Raw genomic sequence first — 20,539 nt, 5'->3', positions numbered from 1 at the left:
ATGATCCTCTCCCCACCTGGATACTGGGAAAGATACCACAGCACGGGTATACGTTTCCTACGCTGTTGGGAGTAATATCATTCTCTTCCTTTCTGGATATTAGGGAGACTATCCCAGGGGTGCTGTACAATTACCTCGACATTGGGAGAAACATCATCCTCTATTTTCCTGGATATTGGGCACAAAAACACAAAAGGGTGTACAACCCCTGCGATATTGGGAGTAATAGCATACTCTCCTTCCCTGGATGTTAGAAAACAATATCATAAGGGCTGAACACCCCCCGCGATAATGGGAGTCATGTTTACTCTTTCACAGGCCATTTGGAACAATATCACAGGGGTGTTTACAAACAGGGGTGGTGTACACCTCCTGTGATATTGGGAGTAACATCATTCTCTCCACCTCCGGATATTAAGAACAATATCGGGGCGGGAGGTGGTACACCCCCAGTGATATTGTGAATAATGTCATCCTCTCCTTCCCTGGATATTAGGAACAATATCACAGGGGGGTGTACACCTTCTGTGATATGGGAAGCAATATCATCCTCTCCCCCGCTGGATATTAGAAAAAAATATCACTCACGGTGTACACCCACTGTGATATGAGGAGTAATATCTTCCTAGGGTATTACGAATAATTTCACAGTCTGTACACACATGGTGTACACTCACTGTGATATTAGGAGTAATATCTACCTAGTAGATAACAAATAACATCGCAGTGTGTACACCCACTTTGATATTACCTGTAATATTTTTCTAAGTTGTTACAAATAAGATCACAGAGTGTACAAACATGGTGTACACTCACTGTGATATCAGGAGTCGTATCTCTGTAATATATTATGAATAATATCACAGGGTGTACGCCCACTGTATTATTAGGAGTAATATCTCTGTAGGATATTACAATTAAGATCACAGGGTGTAGAGCGACCGTGATATTAGGAGCAATATCTTTCTAGGATATTACAAATAATATCACAGGGTGTACGCCCACTCTGCTGTCAGGAGCAATATCTCCCTAGGATATCAAAAATCCTATCACAGGGTGTCCAATGTCTGCCTTCCAGGTTCTAAGGGATTCTCCTGCTTCAGCCTCCCGAGTAGCTAGGGTTAGCCGCCACCATGCCCGGCTAATGTTTTTTTATTTTCACTGGAGACGGGGTTTCACCACGTTGGCCAGGCTGTTCTGGAACTCCTGACCTCAGGTGATCCATCAGCCTCGGCCGCCCAAAGTGCTGGGATTACAGGTGTGAGCCATGGTGCTGGGCCAAGAGTTATAGATTCAATTCATTTGGAAACACAGCTCCCATTTTTGAGTGTGCATGTACTTTTATGAAGAAATGATGTCAGAAAACCGAAGGATGATAATAAATATGAAAAATAACAGGCATGTGAAAAGGTCTTCCGATTGAGAACTATAAGGTTTGATTTCGTTTTCAGATAATGGGGTCCTAGCTCTTGTGTTGTCCTTTTACATGTTCTACATCAATGGAAGTTGTAGCACCGTGTCAGAATAAAGTAGAGTGTATTTCACGGCTTCTTAATTTCTTTCAGTTAGACTGAGATCTTTTTCTTAAAGAGAGAAGGACATTGTCATTGCATTGTATTTTTTCTGAAAAGAGTAGGCCGTATTTTACTGAGATCACGGATTTGTTATATATGACGTTTTGGTCTTCTAATATTCTTCAGTGGATTTTCTCTAAAGTAGTATGTACAGAAAGCCTTGTATAGCAAAAAAGTAAATCACGTAATAATTCTGAGATTTTTGGAATTGTCATAACTGAGAAACATTGCTGGCGGTGTATGGTCCACAAGTGTGAAGATGTTCCTTGTGAATTGCTTGCATCCAGCATTAAGGGCTGGTTTTTATCTTTTATTTTTCCAATCCTCTTTCCTTCTCAAGGTGTCCAAGACACACAGAGCCATGGAATCTCACAGATGTCTGAGAATTCCTCCTCCTGGGACTCTCAGAGGATCCAGAACTGCAGCCGGTCCTCGCTTTGCTCTCCCTGTCCCTGTCCATGTGTCTGGTCATGGTGCTGAGGAACCTGCTCAGCATCCTGGCTGTCAGCTCTGTCTCTCCCCTCCACACCCCCGTGTACTTCTTCCTCTCTAAACTGTGCTGGGCTGACATCGGTTTCACCTTGGCCACGGTTCCCAAGATGGTTGTGGACATGCAGTCGCATAGCAGAGTCATCTCTCATGCGGGCTGTCTGACGCAGATGTCTTTCTTCATCCTTTTTGCATGTATAGAAGGCATGCTCCTGACAGTGATGGCCTATGACTGCTTTGTAGCCATCTGTCGCCCTCTGCACTACCCAGTCATCGTGAATCCTCACCTCTGTGTCTCCTTCCTTTTGGTGTCCTTTTTCCTTAGCATGTTGGATTCCCAGCTGCACAGTTGAATTGTGTTACAATTCACAATCATCAAGAATGTGGAAATCTCTAATTTTGTCTGTGACCCCTCTCAACTTCTCAAACTTGCCTGTTCTGACAGCGTCATCAATAGCATATTCATATATTTCAATAGTACTATGTTTGGTTTTCTTCCCATTTCAGGGATCCTATGGTCTTACTGTAAAATCGTCCCCTCCATTCTAAGGATTTCATCATCAGATGGGAAGTATAAAGCCTTCTCCACATGTGGCTCTCACCTAGCAGTTGTTTGCTGATTTTATAGAACAGGCATTGGCATGTACCTGACTTCAGCTGTGTCACCACCCCCCAGGAATGGTGTGGTGGCGTCAGCGATGTTCTCTGTGGTCACCCCCATGCTGAACCTTTTCATCTACAGCCTGAGAAACAGGGACATACAAAGTGCCCTGCGGAGGCTGCTCAGCAGAACAGTCGAATCTTATGATCTGTTCCATCCTTTTTCTTGTGTGGGTGAGAAAGGGCAACCACATTAAATCTCTACATCTGCAAATCCTGCCCCTTAGTCACATTATTTTTGTGGCTTGATGGCTTTTATTCCTTTCCACTTTTCCTTTGTGAATATTGCTTTCTTCGTTATGCCTTTCACTGGAATGGGTGAGGATTCTGGGATCCTTTATTTAGCAGAAACCTCATGACAGGATCCTCTATACCTAGGCGGCTTCTTTTAGTTTCTGAGCAATAACCCTGTCATCCAGGTGGAATCACAACCATCTTTTTATATACACGAAGTCCTCACTTCGTTTTGGAATTCCCTGAAAACTGACTTTATGGAAACAATGTACAGGAGGTCCTCCAACACCATTGGTTGTTCAAAGTTGTGTAGTTATACTGTTGATGAAAAATAAGTGGTTTCACTATACATGATTTTGCTTCAAGGTGAAGTTTCCAAGAGACTTTCAAAGATGTTAAGTGAGGACATACTGTACATCAAATTCATATCCTCTTCCAGAGTTCATGTGGAATTTCTTTATAAACTGCTTCTAGAGAATCCATTTAGGCAGGTTATGTATAGAGATCCATGTTGCCGTTCCTCAATCTTGGTTTTGAGTCAAATCACCTGGGGAGCTTACAAATGATGAGGCCTGGGTCTCAATACCTGAGATTCTGGTTTCCTTGCACCTGTGTGAGTATGTGGATTTTTTTTTTTTTTTTTTCTTTTAAAGCACCAGAGGTGGTTCCAATGACGAAGTTTTTAGGGGCATCAAGCTCCAATGAGTAAGAACAGAAATTAATTGTAATATTTCTTCAAATATTATCTTCAAATGCATTGTCCATCAACACCATACAAATGTTTATTATGCTGTTTTTTCTTAACATTTCGCATTTTCTATTTCTTTCTTTTCCTTTTTTTTTTTTTTGAGTCAGAGTTTCACTCTTGTTTCCCAGGCTGGAGTTCAATGGCACGGTCTCGGCTCACTGCAACCTCTGCTTCCCATATTCAAGCAATTCTCCTGTCTCAGCCTTCCAATTACCTGGGATTACAGGCATGCGCTACCATGCCTGAATAATTTTTTTTTTTTTTTGTATTGTTAATAGAGACAGTGTTTCTCCATTTTGGTCAGGCTGGTCTTGAACTCCCGACCTCAGGTGATCCACCGCTTCCGCCCCCCAAAGTGCTGGGATTACAGGCTTGAGCGACCGCGCCCAGCCACCACTTAGCATTTACATTTTACATTTGTTGAAGTTATAGATTTATACACACATTGATTGCTGCTTTGTTATACACTTGCATATACATACGATGGGAAATAGAAAAGAATAAAATGGGCACAGTATCCCTGAAGTTTCACATTCTGAGACATTTTTAAAATATTTGCTCTTCAGAAATTTGTTTCAATGAAGAAACTGTGGTATACACACCCAGTGAAGTATTATTCAGCCTAAAAAGGAAGAAATTCCTCTCCGTTGCAGACAAAATTGATGAGATTGCAGGTCTGTATATTAAATGAAATAAGCCAGGCACAGAATGACAAATATTTCATGTCCTCGCTTCTATGTAGGAAGAAAAAAGGAAACCTTGGCCAGGTGTGGTGGCTCAGGCCTGTAATCCCAACACTCTGGGAGGCCGAGTCGCATGGATCACTTGAGTCCAGGAGTTCAAGATCCGCCTGGCCAACATGGTGAAACCCCGTCTCTACGGAAAACACAAACAATGAGCCGCGCGTGGTGACGCGTGCCTGTAGTCTCAGCTACTTGGAGGGCTGAGGCCCAAGAAGCGCTTGAACTCGGGAGGCGGAGCTTGCAGTGAGCCCGGACTGTGCCTGTGTACTCCAACCTGGGCAACAGAAAGAGACTCCATCACACACCTACACACAAAAGGAATCTCAGGAAGGTGGAAAGTATAAAGGTGATCAGCAGACGCTAGGAAGAAAAGGGTTGGGATAGGTAATGAAGACAAGTGGATAATTGGGTCCCAAAATACAGAAAGATGGAATAAGTGAGTTCTAGTGTTTGATAGTACAGTATGAAAATTTTAGTTCACAAGAATTGCTTGCATATTTCCAGAGGCTTTGGTAAGAAGCTTCCTAACTTTCTCATTGTGCTGGTTTTTAAGCTCTTCTCTTTCTGCTCTTGAAATCATGCTGGTTTTTGTTTTTTGTTTTGAGATGGAGTTTCACTCTTGTTGCCCAGGCTGGAGTGTCATGGTGCAATCTTGGCTCACCGCAACCTCTGCCTCCTGGGTTCAAGCGATTCTCCTGCCTCCACCTCCCGAGTAGCTGGGATTACAGGCATGCGCCAGCACGCCCAGCTAATGTTGTATTTCTAGTAGAGACGGGGGTTCCTCCCTGTCGGTCAGGCTGGTCTTCCACTCCTGACCTCAGGTGATCTGCCCGCCTCGGCCTCCCAAAGTGCTGGGATTAAAGGCGTGAGCGACCGCGCCCGGCCCATGCTGTATCTTTATCTGTTGTCAGTTGTTGTTTGTTTGTTTTGGAGCCCAGAAATAACTTCTCACCTATATGTTCAAATGATTTTTCACATGAGTGCTAAGAAAGCTCATTGGTGGAAAAGAAGCCTTTTCAAGAAATGGTGTTGGAGAAACTTGATTTCCACATGCAGAAGAATGAAGGTGGACCCTATGTCACACTAGGTGCAAAAATTAACACAAACTGGATCAAAGACCTCACCCCAAGCGCTAAAAGTATCGTACGCCTAAAAGAAAACATTGGCCACACTTTCATGACATCAGATTGGACAATGTTCTCTGGGATATGACACCAAAAGCATAGGCAACAAAAGAAAATTAGATTCCTTGGATTACATCTAAATGACAGACACTTTTGTGCAGCAAAAAACACTGTGAACTGAGTGAAAAGATAACCCATGGATTAGGAAAAATATTTGCAAAGCATATATCTGAAAAGAGGCTGATATCCATCATATATAAAGAACAGCTAGAACTAAACAACAAGAAACCCAAAGCATCCCATCAACAATGGTCAGAAGACTCGAGCAGATGTGTTCCTAAAGAAGATATCGCAATGGCCAATAAGCATATAAAATGATGTTCAAAATCACTCATCATAGGGAAGTGCAAATCAAACCAAGAATGTGATACCACACATTAGGATGGATATGATAAACAAACAAGCATTGGTGAGACTAGAGGGAAGTAGGAATGCTCGAATATGATCGGAGGGAATGTAAAACCATGAAGGAACGGGGAAAATAGTATGGCGTGTACTGGAAAAATTAGAAACAGAATGATCAGATATTCCCGCAGTTTCATTTGTGGGTACCTACCAAAAAGAATTAGAAGCCAGGAGTGGAAGACAAATTTGTGTACACCCATATTCATAGCAGCATTATTCACAACAGCCAAAATGTGGAAGCAACCCAAGGGTTCGTGGACAGATGAATTGAAAAGCACACTGCAGTTCCTTCATACAATGGAAGACTATTCAGCCTTCAAAAGGCAGGCACTTCTGGCCGGTGCGGTGGCTCATGCCTGTAATCGCAGCGTCTTGGAAGACCGAGGTGGGCGGATCACCTGAGGTCAGGAATTCAAGACCAGCCTGGCCATCTTGGTGAAACCCTGTCTCTACTGAAAATGCAAAAAATGAGACGAGCGTGCTGGCGTGTACCTATAGTCCCAAGTACTCGGGAGGCTGAGGCACAAGAATCGCTGGAACCTGGGAAGCGGAGGTTGCAGTGAGCCCAGATTGTGCCACTGCACTCCAGCCTGTGCGACAGAGTGAGACTCCATGGAAACACAAAACAAAACAAAGTCAAACGAACAAACAAATAAAAAACAAACAAACAAAAAAAACAGAGAGGCACTTCTGACGCAGGCCGCAACATGGATGAACCTTGCAAACATTATCGTCAGTGAAATAAATGAATCCCAAAAGGATAAACAAGCCCAGGCTCAGTGGCTCGCACCTGTAACCCCAGCACTTTGGGAGGCTGAGCCAGGCGGATCACTTAAGGTCAGGAGTTCGAGACCAGCCTGGCCAATATGGTCTCTATTTAAAATATAAAAATTAGCTGGGCTTGGTGGCGCACGCCTGTAATCCCAGCTACTCCGGAGACTGAGACAGATGAATCGCTTGAACCCATGATGTGGAGGTTGCAGTGAGCCGAGATCACGCCACTGCACTCCAGCCAGGGTGACAGAGAAAGACTCTGTCTCCAAAACAAGAAAATTAAACACGGCATGATTCCACTTATCTATCAGGTTTCCAGAGTAGTTAAACTCATAGAGTTGCAAACTAGAAAGGTGGCCCCCAGGGGCGGGCGAGAGAGAGGAGTGGAGAGCTTGGTGAATGGGTGCAATTTCCATTTTGAAAGATAAAACTGTTCCGGAGATGATGGCGGTGATGGTTGCTAAACAATGTGAACGTACTTAATGTCATGAAACTGTAAACTGAAAAAGTGTGGAAACTGTAAATGTTTATACTGGCCATTCTATGTGAACTAATATATATTTATAATTTTTCATATTTATACGTGGTATATTTTCCCATAATAAAAGATGAAAATTAAAGCAGTTGGATCTTTAAAAAGCAAAGAAAGAAGCGAATAATACACACCAGCTTTCTCCTGATTAGAGGAAGAGCCCCAAAGCTTCTATGGACACTCACTTTTCTCTTCTTCTTCTTGAATTTTTATAAGGAAATCCTTAGAGGTTGGGGAACTTGGGTGACTTTGGCTAATGAGGAGCTGTGTGCCTTGAGCCCCCAGGCCACAGAATAGTAAATAGTCAATCTGTGCCTCCAGCCCTGCAGTGTGAGGTTCCAGTCCTGTGGGCTCCAGAGACATCACCTGTATCAGGAGGCTCATGTCTTACCCTGTCTTCTTGCCAGCCTCGAGGACGGAGTCTGAGCCTCCATGGTGCACCACGCAGGGAGGACAGTGGACCTGTTCTCCGTGGTCATGACCCAGCAGAGGGGAAGGGCAGTTCAGTGAGTGTAGGCAAAAGAAAGAGGGATCAGACTCTTACTGTGTCTATGTAGAAAGGAAAGACATAAGAGACTCCATTTTGAAAAAGGCCTGTACTTTCAACAATTTCTTTGCTGAGATGTTGTTAATCTGTAGCTTTGCCCGTCACTTTGAACAAACCACTTTGACCCAAGCTGAAGCTCACAAAAGCTTGTGTTGTATGAAATCAAGGTTTAAGGGATCTAGGGCTGTGCAGGATGTGCCTTGTTAACAAGGTGTTTCCAAGCAGTATACTTGGTAAAAGTCATCGCCATTCTCTATTCTTAATCAACCAGGGGCACAATACACTGTGGAAAGCCTCAGGGAGCTCTGCCCTTGAAAGCGCCATATTGTCCAAGGTTTCTCCCCATGTGATAGTCTGAAAAGTGGCCTCGTGGGAGGAGAAAGACCTGACCGTCCCCGAGCTGGACACCAGCAAAGGGTCTGGCTGAGGTGGATTAGTCAAAGAGGAAAGCCTCTTGCAGTTGAGAGAGAGGAAGGCCACTGTCTCCTGCCTGCCCCTGGGAACTGAATGTCTCGGTATAAAACCCGATTGTACATTTGTTCAATTCTGAGATGGCGGAAAAACCGCCCTATGGTGGGAGGTGAGACATGTTTGCAGCAATGCTGCCTTGTTATTCTTTACTCCACTGAGATGTTTGGGTGGAGAGAAACATCAATCTGGCTGATGTGCATGTCCAGTCATAGTACCTTCCCTTGGACTTCCTTATGACTTAGATTGTATTGCTCACACGTTCATTGCTGACCTTCTCCTTATTATCTCTCTGCCCTCCTACTACATTCCTTTTTGCTAAAATAATAAAAATAATAATCAATAAAAACTGAGGGAACTCAGAGGCCTGTGCTGGTTCAGATCCTTGGTATGCTGAGTGCCGGTCCCCTAGGCCCACTGTTGTTTCTCCATACTTTGTCTCTGTGTCTTATTTCTTTTCTCAGTCTCTCATCCCACCTGACTAGAAATACCCACAGGTGTGGAGGGGCAGGCCACCCCTTCAAGTGAGTGCTGAGGGACGGTCTGGAGCCTTGTTTGTTTCCTCCTCCTCAGGACAAACAGGAGAATGCGCTGGGCAGATGTGAGGAGACCAATATGCAAACTCTGTGCTCAGCAGACTGTGGAGTTTCTGTTCTTGGTTGTGCTGGGGGTCTCAGAAATCTTATTCAAAATTTTTCTTTCCTCCCCCACTGGTTGTCCTTTTCATAGACATCTCACCCATGATAGCAGGGAATGAGTCCCTCTAAACTATTCCCTAAGAACAACAAAGAGATTATGAAGGTGATGATGAGGATAAAGAGGATGACGACAGACACCATGGCATCATGAACCCTTACTGAGGGCTTCCTAAAGGACAGGCTCTGAGCTCTGTTCTCTATGCAGCTTGTTTCATTTCATCTGCATAGTCTCCACATTATTAGTGCACATTTCATGATGATTTTACAGACTAGAAAAGGCGCAATGGGTTTTCATGTAGCTTGTACCAGATCACGAAGTCAAAGAGGGTGAAGTCCAATTTGAACCAGGCAGTCTAAGTCCAGACACATGGCATTTGGCCAGTCCTCTTCCTGCATCCAACCTGCCCTCTCAAATCCTCGTCACTCAGGCCGATGCCCCTGCTCACTGTGCCCTTCCCTTTGGGGGTTCCTTGTAGACCACAGCTAGACCAGTGGGTGCCACAATCACTGTGTCATGTATAGAAAGGGCAGCTGAGATCACATCGAGGATTCCAGAAAGAGTTGGCAAAGGATCATTCGGGACGCATCTCTCCCTTGCCCCTGTTCCTGGCTTTCGTTACAGCTCTCGACTTCCTGAAAGGAGTCATCAATTCGGAGTTTGGCTTCCATTCCTATTGAGGAAGCTGGAAAGTGTTTCAAAAATGCTCCTCCGATGTGCCTGTGGTTAAGACCTCTGAGCTCTGCTTAAAACTTTTGGAAGCTGGGCGCGGTGGCTCACGCCTGTAATCCCAGCCCTTTGGGAGGCTGAGGCAGGCGAATCACAAGGTCAGGAGTTCGAGACCAGCCTGGCCAACATGATGAAACCCTGTCTCTACTAAAAATACAAAAAAAAAAAAAAAAAAAATTAGCCAGGCATGGTGGCGTATGCCTGTAATCCCAGCTACTGGGGAGGCTGAGGCAGGAGACTCCTTTGAAGCCGGGAGACAGAGGTTGCAGTGAACCGAGATCACGCCACTGCACTCCAGCCTGGGCAACAGAGCAAGACTCTGTCTTAAAAATATAAATAAATAAAAATTACGAAAAAATGTGCTTGGATGGGCTTTGCAAACTTTAGCCATTAGCTCACGTACCACTTTGGAAGGGCATACCTTCAGTCACTTCACCCTTTAATCCCTTTGCTCAAGACTAGAGTTCTGAGAGGAAGTCTAATGGGCTGAGTTGTGTCCATGTGGGCAGTGCAGGAAAGGGTGCAGTGGGATGCGGCTCCAGGGATGTCTTTGGCTTCTATCATGGGGGAGCAGGGGCCTGGATTATCCACCCTAACAAATCTGGACAAAGGAAAACGAGGTTCTCTGAGGAAGGAGACATAGAGCCCAAGGAGCTAACCAAGAGACAAATAGTCATCCTGTCTTGTCATTTTCTTTTACACATGTGTGTACATTATCTTACACTTATCACTGTGTTTTCTTTCTCTCCTTTAATCGCACCCTGTTGCCAAAAGCTAAAATAAAATGAAAGTATTGAGATAGCTCAGTAACTGACTTTTGGTCAATTGCCTTTTCATATAGTCAACAGCTGCCCAGACCATTGTCTCTGTCACTGTGCAAATTTGCAAGCATTTGCATGATCACTCCCAATCCCCCAACACAGGGCTGTGTTACAGCACAATTTATTTCAGTGTTTTGCTCTCTGCAACAGGGAGGTTCTCATCCATTACAGGTTGCAGTAAAAACAGGGGTACCATAAGCAGCCACCTCTTTCCTCAACGATGAGATGAAAGCAAAAGCCAAGTAGCTCCATGTATCCAACTTAAAAATATAAAAAGTTACGCCCGTGGGCTGCAGTTGGAGCTATGGCGGCGGCAGCTGTCACTGGGCCTAGCCCGGGGTGTGGACCTTGGGACTCCCCAGAAGGGCCCGATGTGGAGGCTCACGGAGCGTCGGCGGAAGGCGCACAGGATGCTAAAGCTTTACAATGGCCTCTCGAAAGGGGAGGCGGTGGGACTCCCCGCGGGGCCCGACCCCCTGGACTCCACTGATCTGAACGGGGCGCACTTCGACCCGGAACTTTACCTAGACAAGCTGCCTAGAGAGTGCCCTCTGGCCCAGCTGATAGACAGTGAGACGGACATGGTGCCGCAGATCCGGGCTCTAGACAGCGACATGCAAACCCTGGTCTATGAGAACTATGATAAGTTCATCCCAGCCACAGAAATTGACAAACAGTGTAAAACTGTATGAGGAATTGCAGGAGACCCAGAATTTCCCAAATAACCTTGTAAAAGAAGAACAAAGTTGGAAGACTCACACAAAAAAATACATATGTATTTATATATATATATGTATATATATATATATGAAGTTGTGTTTTCGTTCAATTGTAAATGTTTAGTAATTTCTATTGTGATTTTTCATTTAACTCATGAAAGGATATTTTTAATTTTCCTAATGTATGCTTGTGTTTAGCTATCTTCTTGCTGTTGACTTCTAATTTTGTTGCATTATGGTCAGGAAAATGTGGTCTGGACAATGTCAATCGTATAGTGGATTTTGTTGAGACTTCTTTATGGCCTAATATGTGGCCAGTTTTTTGTTTTTTTTTTTTTTGCAAATTTGCCACATGTTGTTAAAAGGAATATGGATTATTTGTTTTTTTTTTGGGAGAGTTTTTATTTTTAAATAGATAAGTTTCTCAGTGTAATTGAAATCTAGCTTCAATTAACAATATGCTGGATCTCTCAAACCTTAGAATGTTAGTCAGTGTAACAATAGACTGCTGCTGAGACGAATAAACCCTGAACTCTCAGTGGGTTGGCACCCATAGCATAGTCTGGTGCAGGGCAGGGGTTCTCCTTAGGGGCCCTTGTCCAACAGTGATTCAGAGATTCTGGAGGTTTCCGTCTTTTAATTCTGCCATCTCAGAGTTTTTCACTGGTAGCCATATGGATAAGAAGAGAGGGAACATAGCTCACACTTGCCTTTGATAACCTTGGCCCGAAGGGATTTCTTACATTCCTATTGGTGGAAATGCAGTCACATGGTTCCAAACTAACTGCAAGTAAGGCTGGGAAATGTAGTCTTTCTGCATGTCCAGGAAGAGGAATGGTGTGAACACAGCATTGTCTTTGACACTCTAAGCATGTGCTGAAGAGTTCTTACTCTTATAGGAGGCTTGTCTGTCCTGTGTCACTTTCTCAGTTTTTGCTTAGATAGTTTCAGGCAATGTTGTTTGGTGCATTCAGCTTGATGATTATTATGTCCTCTTGGCAAAGTAGTCAAGATTTCCATCAGTTTGAATGAAAGTGTTTTACAGATAGGTCAGGAAATGTTAATACTTTAAAAGGCCCTTCTATTCCTCCACTCTACAGATAAGAATAACAGAGTCCTAGAGAGAGGAGGTCATGGGTCTCACTCATGAGTGGCAGAATTGAAACCAACATGGCAGTAACTTTGCCTTTCCCCCATCATGTTTTTCTCCCTCTATCTTCACTCTGCTGATTTCTTCACTTGCTCCATACAGACCTCCCAGTGCCAAGTGTATAAGTGTGTCCAGAATTGGTGGGTTCTTGGTCTCACTGACTTCAAGAATGAAGCTGCGGACCCTCCTGGTGAGTGTTACAGTTCTTAAAGGTGGCGTGTCTGGAGTTTGTTCCTTCTGATGTTCGGATGTGTTCAAAGCTTCTTCCTTCTGGTGGGGTTCGTGGTCTCGCTGGCTCAGGAGTGAAGCTGCAGACCTTCACGGTGAGTGTTACAGCTCTTAAGGCTGCACGTCTGGAGTTGTTCATTTCTCCCGGTGGGTTCATGGTCTTGCTGGCTTCAGGAGTGAAGCTGCAGACATTCTCAGTGAGTGTTACAGCTTATAAAGGCAGTGTGGACCCAAACAGTGAGCAGCAACAAGATTTATTGCAAAGAGCGAAAGAACAAAGCTTCCACAGTGTGGAAGGGGACCCCAGCGGGTTGCCACTGCTGGCTCGGGCAGCCTGCTTTTATTCTCTTACCTGGCCCCACCCACATCCTGCTGATTGGTCCATTTTACAGAGAGCCTGAGTTGTCTGTTTTGACAGGGCACTGATTGGTGCGTTTACAATCCCTGAGCTAGACACAAAGGCTCCCCAAGTCCCCACTAGATTAGCTAGATACAGAGTGTCCACACAAAGGTTCTCCAAGTCCCCACCATAGTAGCTAGATACAGAGTGTCGATTGGTACATTCACAAACCCTGAGCTAGACACAGGGTGCTGATTGGTGTGTTTACAAACCTTGAGCTAGATACAGAGTGCCGACTGGTGTATTTACAATCCCTTAGCTAGACATAAAGGTTCTACAAGTCCCCACCAGACTCAGGAGCCCAGCTGGCTTCATCCAGTGGATCCCGCACAAGAGCTGCAGGTGGAGCTGCCTGCCAGTCCCTCTCCATGTGCCCACACTCCTCAGCCCTTGGGTGGTTGATGGGACTGGGCACCGTGGAGCAGGGGGCGGTGCTTGTCAGAGAGGCTCGGGCTGCGCAGGAGCCCACAGAGGGGGGAGGCTAAGGAATGGCAGGCTGCAGGTCCCAAGCCCTGCCCCACAGGGAGGCAGCTAAGGCCCGGCAAGAAGTCGAGCACAGCAGCTGCTGGCCCAGGTGTTAAACCCCTCACTGCCCGGGCCAGCAAGGCCTGCCGGCAGCTCCTAGTGCGGGGCCACCAAGCCCACGCCCACCCAGAACTCCAGCTGGCAAGCAAGCAGCACACGTAGCCCCGGTTCTGGCTCATGCCTCTTCCTCCACACCTCCCTGCAAGCTGAGGGAGCCAGCTCCAACCTTGGCCAGCCCAGAAAGGGGCTCCCACCATGCAGCCACGGGCTGAAGGGCCCCTCAAGTGCCACCAAAGTGGGAGCCCAGGCAAAGGAGGCACCGAGAGTGAGCGAGGGCTGTGAGGGCTGCCAGCGCGCTGTCACCTCTCATAAGGAGTGATTAATCTGAGCTTCTCCAGAAAGTCCATTCCTGGTAGGCACTGGGAATAAGAAATCTCAGAGTATAAAAAACATCAAGTGGTAGCACTTTTGTGAATGGCTCCCAAATTAGATCCTTTACCTTTTTTTTTCCATGAAGCACAGCTGCACAAAACACGCTTAGCCTGAGATGAAGCACATATTAGAGAAAAGTTCTCTCTATAGCATTATGTATTACTCAAATGAGCATTAAAAAGAGGAGATGGGACATGCTCTCTCTAGCTATTATTACCTCCACTATACAGTTGACATACACAAGCTCATTATTGCATTATGCTTTATTCAACAAAATAACTTTAATGTTGAAGCTTAAATTGAATTCGTTAAAACATCTTTGTCTCCAGCATAATGTGCCTCAAGTGTCTTCTTGGTGCCTGAATTTTCTCCACAATTATAGTGCTGAAGCTATGGAAATGGTGAAATTATATGCAATCTGCAAAACAATGTGGCTATAACATGGTAATTGGACTTCCACATAATTAAATGAACATTTCCTCATCAGAGCTGTTCCATCAGAGACCCAAAGGCTATCGTACAAATCACCCACTTAGGAAAACCTTTATTCCCAGTAGCCTATAAAAATCTGGTTATGCAAACAGATTTGCTTACTCAGTAACATGAATGGCTTCTCATAGTTAAAAAGTCATCAATGTGATTGACCTATAATCTGTTTCCTCTGTGACCAAGTGTCATTTTTATTTTGACAGTTAGGAGCCTTTTGACTCTTTCACAGCTGGCATGAAGGCACAGGGAGGGAAATCTCAAAAACCAACAACCTGTGTATTCCCAGCCTATTAATCAATAGAAAATCACTTCAACTGGATTAGGGTCTTGTACCTGGCAGAAAGGCTCTTATGGACATTGGAATTGGATTTTTACACTTGATATGACACCTCCTTGAGTCAGATGAGATTCGTGTTTGATAGACTCTTGCCAAAACATTGCTCCAGGGTCTGTGCAGCAGCTAAAGCCTTTTTGTTGTTGTTGTTGTTTTAAAAGCAGCATTAAATGTTTTCATGAAGACCTTCCCAGCAGTGATGTTATTGAGAATATGGTCTTTAGCTCTGGTCCTGAATAACTCACACTGAGGAAACCTCTAACAAGTGTTGTATTGGAAGATGTCTGATGGATGGTTGGTTTTAATAACAAATCTCTTCCCTTTTTCTGTCCCCTGTGTTCTATTCTCCTTTCTCTACACATTATTCTGGGAGGATTCACCTATTCCCAAAGTCCTTTCCTCTTTATTTCCATTCCAGAGCTCTCTGTATAACTCTAGGCTGATGAATCCAACTGCCCAGTTGTTATCTCCACTTGGCTGTCTTTCTTGCATTGACCTCATCTTACCTTTCCTCTCCTGATTTCCTCTTCTGCCTGGGCTCACCACATCAGATTCACACCACCATCCACCCAGCTTCCAAAACACCTGGGCCTCATCCTTCATTCCTCCCTCTTTCTCAGTCAAGTTAGTCTACTGTCTCCTCTCCATCCTCACTGCCACAGCCTTGGTCCAGCCAACCATCTTGTCTCACTTGGTGTATTGCAACCTCCTACCTGGTCTACTCACCTCCCACTCTCCTCCAGCCAGACTGCTCTTTTTATAGCACAAAGTGGATCATTACTCCTCTGCCTAAAACCATCTACTGTCTCCCTTTGTCTACAAGATAAACATGACAAAGAGCCTTTAAGATTTGGCTCCAACTTACCTCTACATTAGTCACTTTTTACAATTATATGAACATCTCTCAGCTTCTCACCCTCTCATGTCTCGATTCTTGCACATGCTCTTCCCTCTGCTGGGAATGATCTTCCACACCTCTCCTATTGACCTGGCTGATTCCTACCATTTTCTAGTCTTCAACTGAGGAGTCCTGTGGTGGAGAAGGATTTCTGACCACCTGATAGAGATTGCATGCCCACCCATCTCCTGGCTTTTTTTTTTTGACGGAGTCTCGCTCTGGCCATCCAGCCTGGAGTGCAGTGGCGCGATCTTGGCTCACTGCAATCTCCACCTCCCGGGTTCAAGCAATTCTCCCACCTCAGCCTTCTGAGTATCTGGAATTACAGGTGCCCACCACCACACCCGGCTAATGTTTTTGTATTTTTAGTAAAGACAGGATTTCACCATGTTGGCCAGGCTGTTTTCGAACTCCTGGCCTCAAGTGATCCACCCACCTTGGCCTCCCAAAGTGCTGGGATTACAGGCATGAACAACTGCACCTGGCCAATTGGGTGCCCCTTCTTTGTGCTCCCATTGCCCCAGGCATACTGTCACCATGACTCCTACCATTGTGAGTTGAAAATGATTTTTTTTTTGCTTTTTATTTCTCTCATTAAATGCAAAGCTCATTGAAAAGAGGATGGTGGTTGTTCACTGTTGTACTCCTAACCTTTGATTCAGTGTCCTGAGGTTGGCTCTAGAGCTGTGCACACATGTTCAGACATTGGAGCACATCTTGTCTAGCACCTCTTTTGAGGTGGCTTGGAGAAAAGTCAGTAGGTACTTCCCCAAGGATGAAACAGAAGCTTCACCTAAATCAGGAGTTCTTCAACTTCAGCCTGCATTACAATCCTCTGAGAGCTTGTTAAAAATACTGTCTCCTAGAGCCCACTCTTCAAGAGTCAGTGAGTTGCTTCATCATCAAAATATATACAGAATCCAGCCGGTCTTCAGCGCCAGCCTGGTCTGAGCCACTGTGGACTCCCACCTGCAGAATCTCCCTGCTGGTCTCCTTTCTTCTGCTCTTACCTTCTTATCATCCATTCAAGTAGCCAGGGTGATCCTTTTAAAAAATTTTTTTAAAATTTTTTGAGATGAAGTCTCAGTCTATTACCCAGGCTGGAGTGCAGTGTTGCTATCTTGGTTCTCTGCAGCCTCTACCTCCTGGGCTCAAGCCATCCTCCCACCTCAGCCTCCTGGGTAGCTGGGACCACAGGCATACACCACCACACCTGGCTGATTTTTGTATTTTTTGTAAAGACAGGGTCTTGGTATGTTGCCCAGGCTAGTCTTGAACTTCTGTGTGCGCCCACCTCAGCCTCCTGCATTTTTAGGAAGCCCCTATTGTAGGGATTTTGATGCAGAGGCCTGGGTGCCTCATGTCTCCTCCCATCTCTTTCTATCTTTCTGTCTCTGTCTCTGTCTATCTCTCTCCCTTTCTCTTTGTCTTATAGCTGCCCTGGGGACTAGACTCTGCCTTAGGCATCCCTCTGACTCCTGTTTGCTTTTACACTGAGGCTGCTTTAAGTCGCACCTTGATCTGAAGCCTTGGGCTTCTGTTCCTATTGCTTGCTTTTGTTGGGAGGGCTGTGCAGCTTCTTGACAAATTGCAAAGGTGCCCACGAGTTTCCAAGTCCCCAACAACAAAACCAGATGACAAACAAGGATGCAGCCCACGGCTGGGGAGACAGATTTCATGTCCACACAGATATTCCAAGATGCTGAACTGAAATCCACCCCGAAACCTGTTTTCTCTCTCATTTAAGTTCAGTGTTACCTGGGGGCTTGCAGGGCAGGGCTGGTGACCATTCCCAGGGCAAAGATGCTTTGAAATGTCAACTGAGAATGGTGTGGTGGTTGACAGATGGCACGTCAGGGCATAGATTAACATGGAAAGAGAAACTCACCCCTTCGGGGGAGTGTGTGAGGCTGGCAGCCACACAGAGGGCTTTTCCTGCGAGCTCTCGCACAGATGCAAACAGCCAGGAGGTTTTGCTTTCTGAGCCTGAGTGGAAGAATGTTCCTCCCTGAACATTGCCGCTCTGCAGCAAATGTTTATTCCTGTTGCTTTGATTAAAAGTGCTTACCAGGCCGGGCGCGGTGGCTCAAGCCTGTAATCCCAGCACTATGGGAGGCCAAGGCAGGCAGATCACAAGGTCAGGAAATTGAGGCCATCCTGGCTAACACGGTGAAACCCCGTCTCTACTAAAAATACAAAAAATTAGCCAGGCGTGGTGGCGGGCGCCTGTAGTCCCAGCTACTTGGGAGGCTGAGGCAGGAGAATGGCATGAACCTGGGAGGCGGAGCTTGCAGTGAGCCAAGATTGCGCCACTGCACTCCAGCCTGGATGACAGAGGAAGACTCCATCTCAAAAAAAAAAAAAAATAAAATAAGGAATGTGCTTACTGAAAGGGTTTGAGGGGAGTGGTGACAGTGTGAGTTATGGCTCTGCGGGCTGCCAGTGGAGCCAGCCGCTCTGCACAGCTGTGCAAGGGTGTTTTGAAAAGTGGTTCAGCCAGCCAGGAGTGACTGGGTGTAAGTGTTGCTGCCACAACATCTTGTAGCCTGATTGGGGCCGTATTTGCAGAACCGCTAAACCACTATACTTGTTCAGGCTTAAAAATAAGATTGCTTTTTTGTTTGTTTGTTTGTTTTGGTTTGTTTTATGAGATGGAGTCTCGTTCTGTCACCGGGTTGGAATGCAGTGGCATGATCTCGGCCCACTGCAACCTCTGCCTCCTGGGTTCAAGTGATTCTCCTGCCTCAGGCTCCCGAGTAGCTGGGACTACAGGCGTGTGCCATCATGGCCCGCTCATTTTTGAATTTTTAGTAGAGACGGGGCTTCACCATGTTGGCCAGGATGATCCGATCTCTTGACCTCGTGATCTGCCCACCTCGGCCTCCCAAAGTCCTGGGTTTACAGGTGTGAGCCACCGTGCCTGGCCAAACATAAACTTACTTTCTTATCTCTTTTGCTGAACTCTATTTTCTTCTTTTCCCAAATGTCTTTATCCGGAAGAGCTTTTAGCAACAAAGTTACCCAATGCCCTTCCCTAGTCTCTCCTTGCAACTGGCTCTCAGCAGGGGGTGGGAGGAAATCCTTGACAGAACCAATTTACATGACTGTTTGGAGGACTCTGGCTAGCCCCAGGAGGTGTTTGCATTTTTAAATGGTTACTAGTGTCAGAATGTTTCATGAGTAAGAGCACAGCCTCTATGTTGGATGCCCTGAATTTGAATCTCAGCATTGCCACTTTGTATATAACCAGAGGATGGATTTGGGGACCCAATGGATCTACCATGACATGAAGTTGTACCAACATTCACCTGACCTCCAAAATGCCTATTCTGACTGGTAGACCCTAGTCTCAGCCTAGTGCCAGTTCAGAGCCTGTGTCCAGTGATCCTGCACAGGTCTCATTAGTTCCTTTTCTCCTGTTCAGTCATCCTGGTAAAAGGCTGTGTATTCCCTTGGGGGCAGGCTGGGAGAAAGATTGACAGTATAAATTTTTGGCAGTGGAGCAGAGTCCTTTCTGGAGGGGACCTGGCTTCCCATTCAGACAAGGGACTCCGGGTCTGTGAACTGGCTTATGTCTGGGAATTGACTGGGGACTGTGACTCTGTTTTTATGATTCAGATTAGACTTCTGCTCACCTGACCTAGAACTCTTCTGCAAACACAGATCCAGTAAAAATGTGGCAGGCTTCTTATCTATTTCACTTCTAGGAATGCCACGATCAGCAGGCACCATAGGTCTCTGCGAGTCAGGCAATTCTGGTTGCAGCTTTGACTCTGCTGTCTTTTATGGTAACTGCGTCCACCTTGCCTTTGGGGATTGAGTGCTCTGATCACTTGGCCCCAGCCCCTGTAGTGTGCCTATTTCAATTACCCTCTTTATACCTCGGTCTCTTCCTCTGTAAAATGGGCATCCTCATTGCACCCACCCCCAGGGCTGCTGTGAGGTATAGATGGATTAGCATATGGCAAGTAATAGAAGAGTGTCTCAAAGTCCATGTGTCGTTATCAGAATTATTTCATGACAGGGGAGAGCTGGAGGAGAGAAGAAGGTGCTGAGCACACCCATGTGCTCTCCCACCAGTGTTTCCTGAGCACCTACTATGTGCTGCCCACTGTGAGAGCTGTTAGGGTTGAAATAGGGAGCACAGCAGGGTAGGGGCCGCCATCAGGAGCTTAGTGGGGAGACCATTGTGCAACATGTTTCCAGCGCTTGGGGTGGGGAAGCTCAGGGAGTAGAGGGGCCTAGGATCCTGGGCAGAATCATGGAAAGGACACAGCCTCCCCAGCCTCTCCTGCCTCCACTGCCTCCCTGGCCTCCTCTGCTTCCCTGGCCTCTCCTGCCTTCCTGGCTTCCCCTTCCACGCCAGCCTTCCCAGTCTCCCCTGTCTCTCCTGCTTTTGAGGTAGGCCAGGAGCTGCTGGTGCTCACTTAGCCTGTCCTGGACTCTGGGTGTAGCACCTCAATGTCCAGAAAATACCCCCGAGTTCAGCTCATCACACAGCCAGGGAAGGAGCTCCACACTGACACTAAGGGTGCATCCTAGGCTCATTCATCAGGGCATGCCTCCAAAATATTTCTCCACGTCTCCTCCCTTTGCCCACCTGCATTGTCTCTGTGCTTCAGCCCCGGCTGGGGGTCTGCAAGGATCCCCTATCTCCTCTGCCCCTGCACGGCTGGGTCCCAGGCAATCTGTGTGCCCACCACACCTCTCTCCCCTCGCCCTCCATGCTCCAGCCCCACAGTCCTCTTTCTGCTTCTTTC

The 20,539-nt window shown here is 46.0% G+C and overlaps 2 pseudogenes, besides 1 other annotated feature; both read left to right on the top strand.

Annotated features, from left to right (window-relative positions):
- On the top strand, positions 1,872 to 2,897 carry OR7E117P (olfactory receptor family 7 subfamily E member 117 pseudogene; annotated as a pseudogene).
- Positions 10,925 to 11,263, top strand: VPS51P5 (VPS51 pseudogene 5; annotated as a pseudogene).
- Positions 18,518 to 19,159: an enhancer, noted in NCBI's record as "OCT4-NANOG-H3K4me1 hESC enhancer chr11:3604611-3605252 (GRCh37/hg19 assembly coordinates)". NCBI's record gives its function as "activates a minimal SCP1, AML or CMV promoter by ChIP-STARR-seq in primed H9 embryonic stem cells {active_cell/tissue: H9 hESC(primed)}" and the evidence as "EXISTENCE:reporter gene assay evidence [ECO:0000049][PMID:30033119]".

The sequence above is a fragment of the Homo sapiens genome, chromosome 11 (genome assembly GCF_000001405.40).
Source record: "Homo sapiens chromosome 11, GRCh38.p14 Primary Assembly".
NCBI lineage: Eukaryota > Metazoa > Chordata > Mammalia > Primates > Hominidae > Homo > Homo sapiens.
This window is presented reverse-complemented; position numbering and strand designations above follow the sequence as displayed.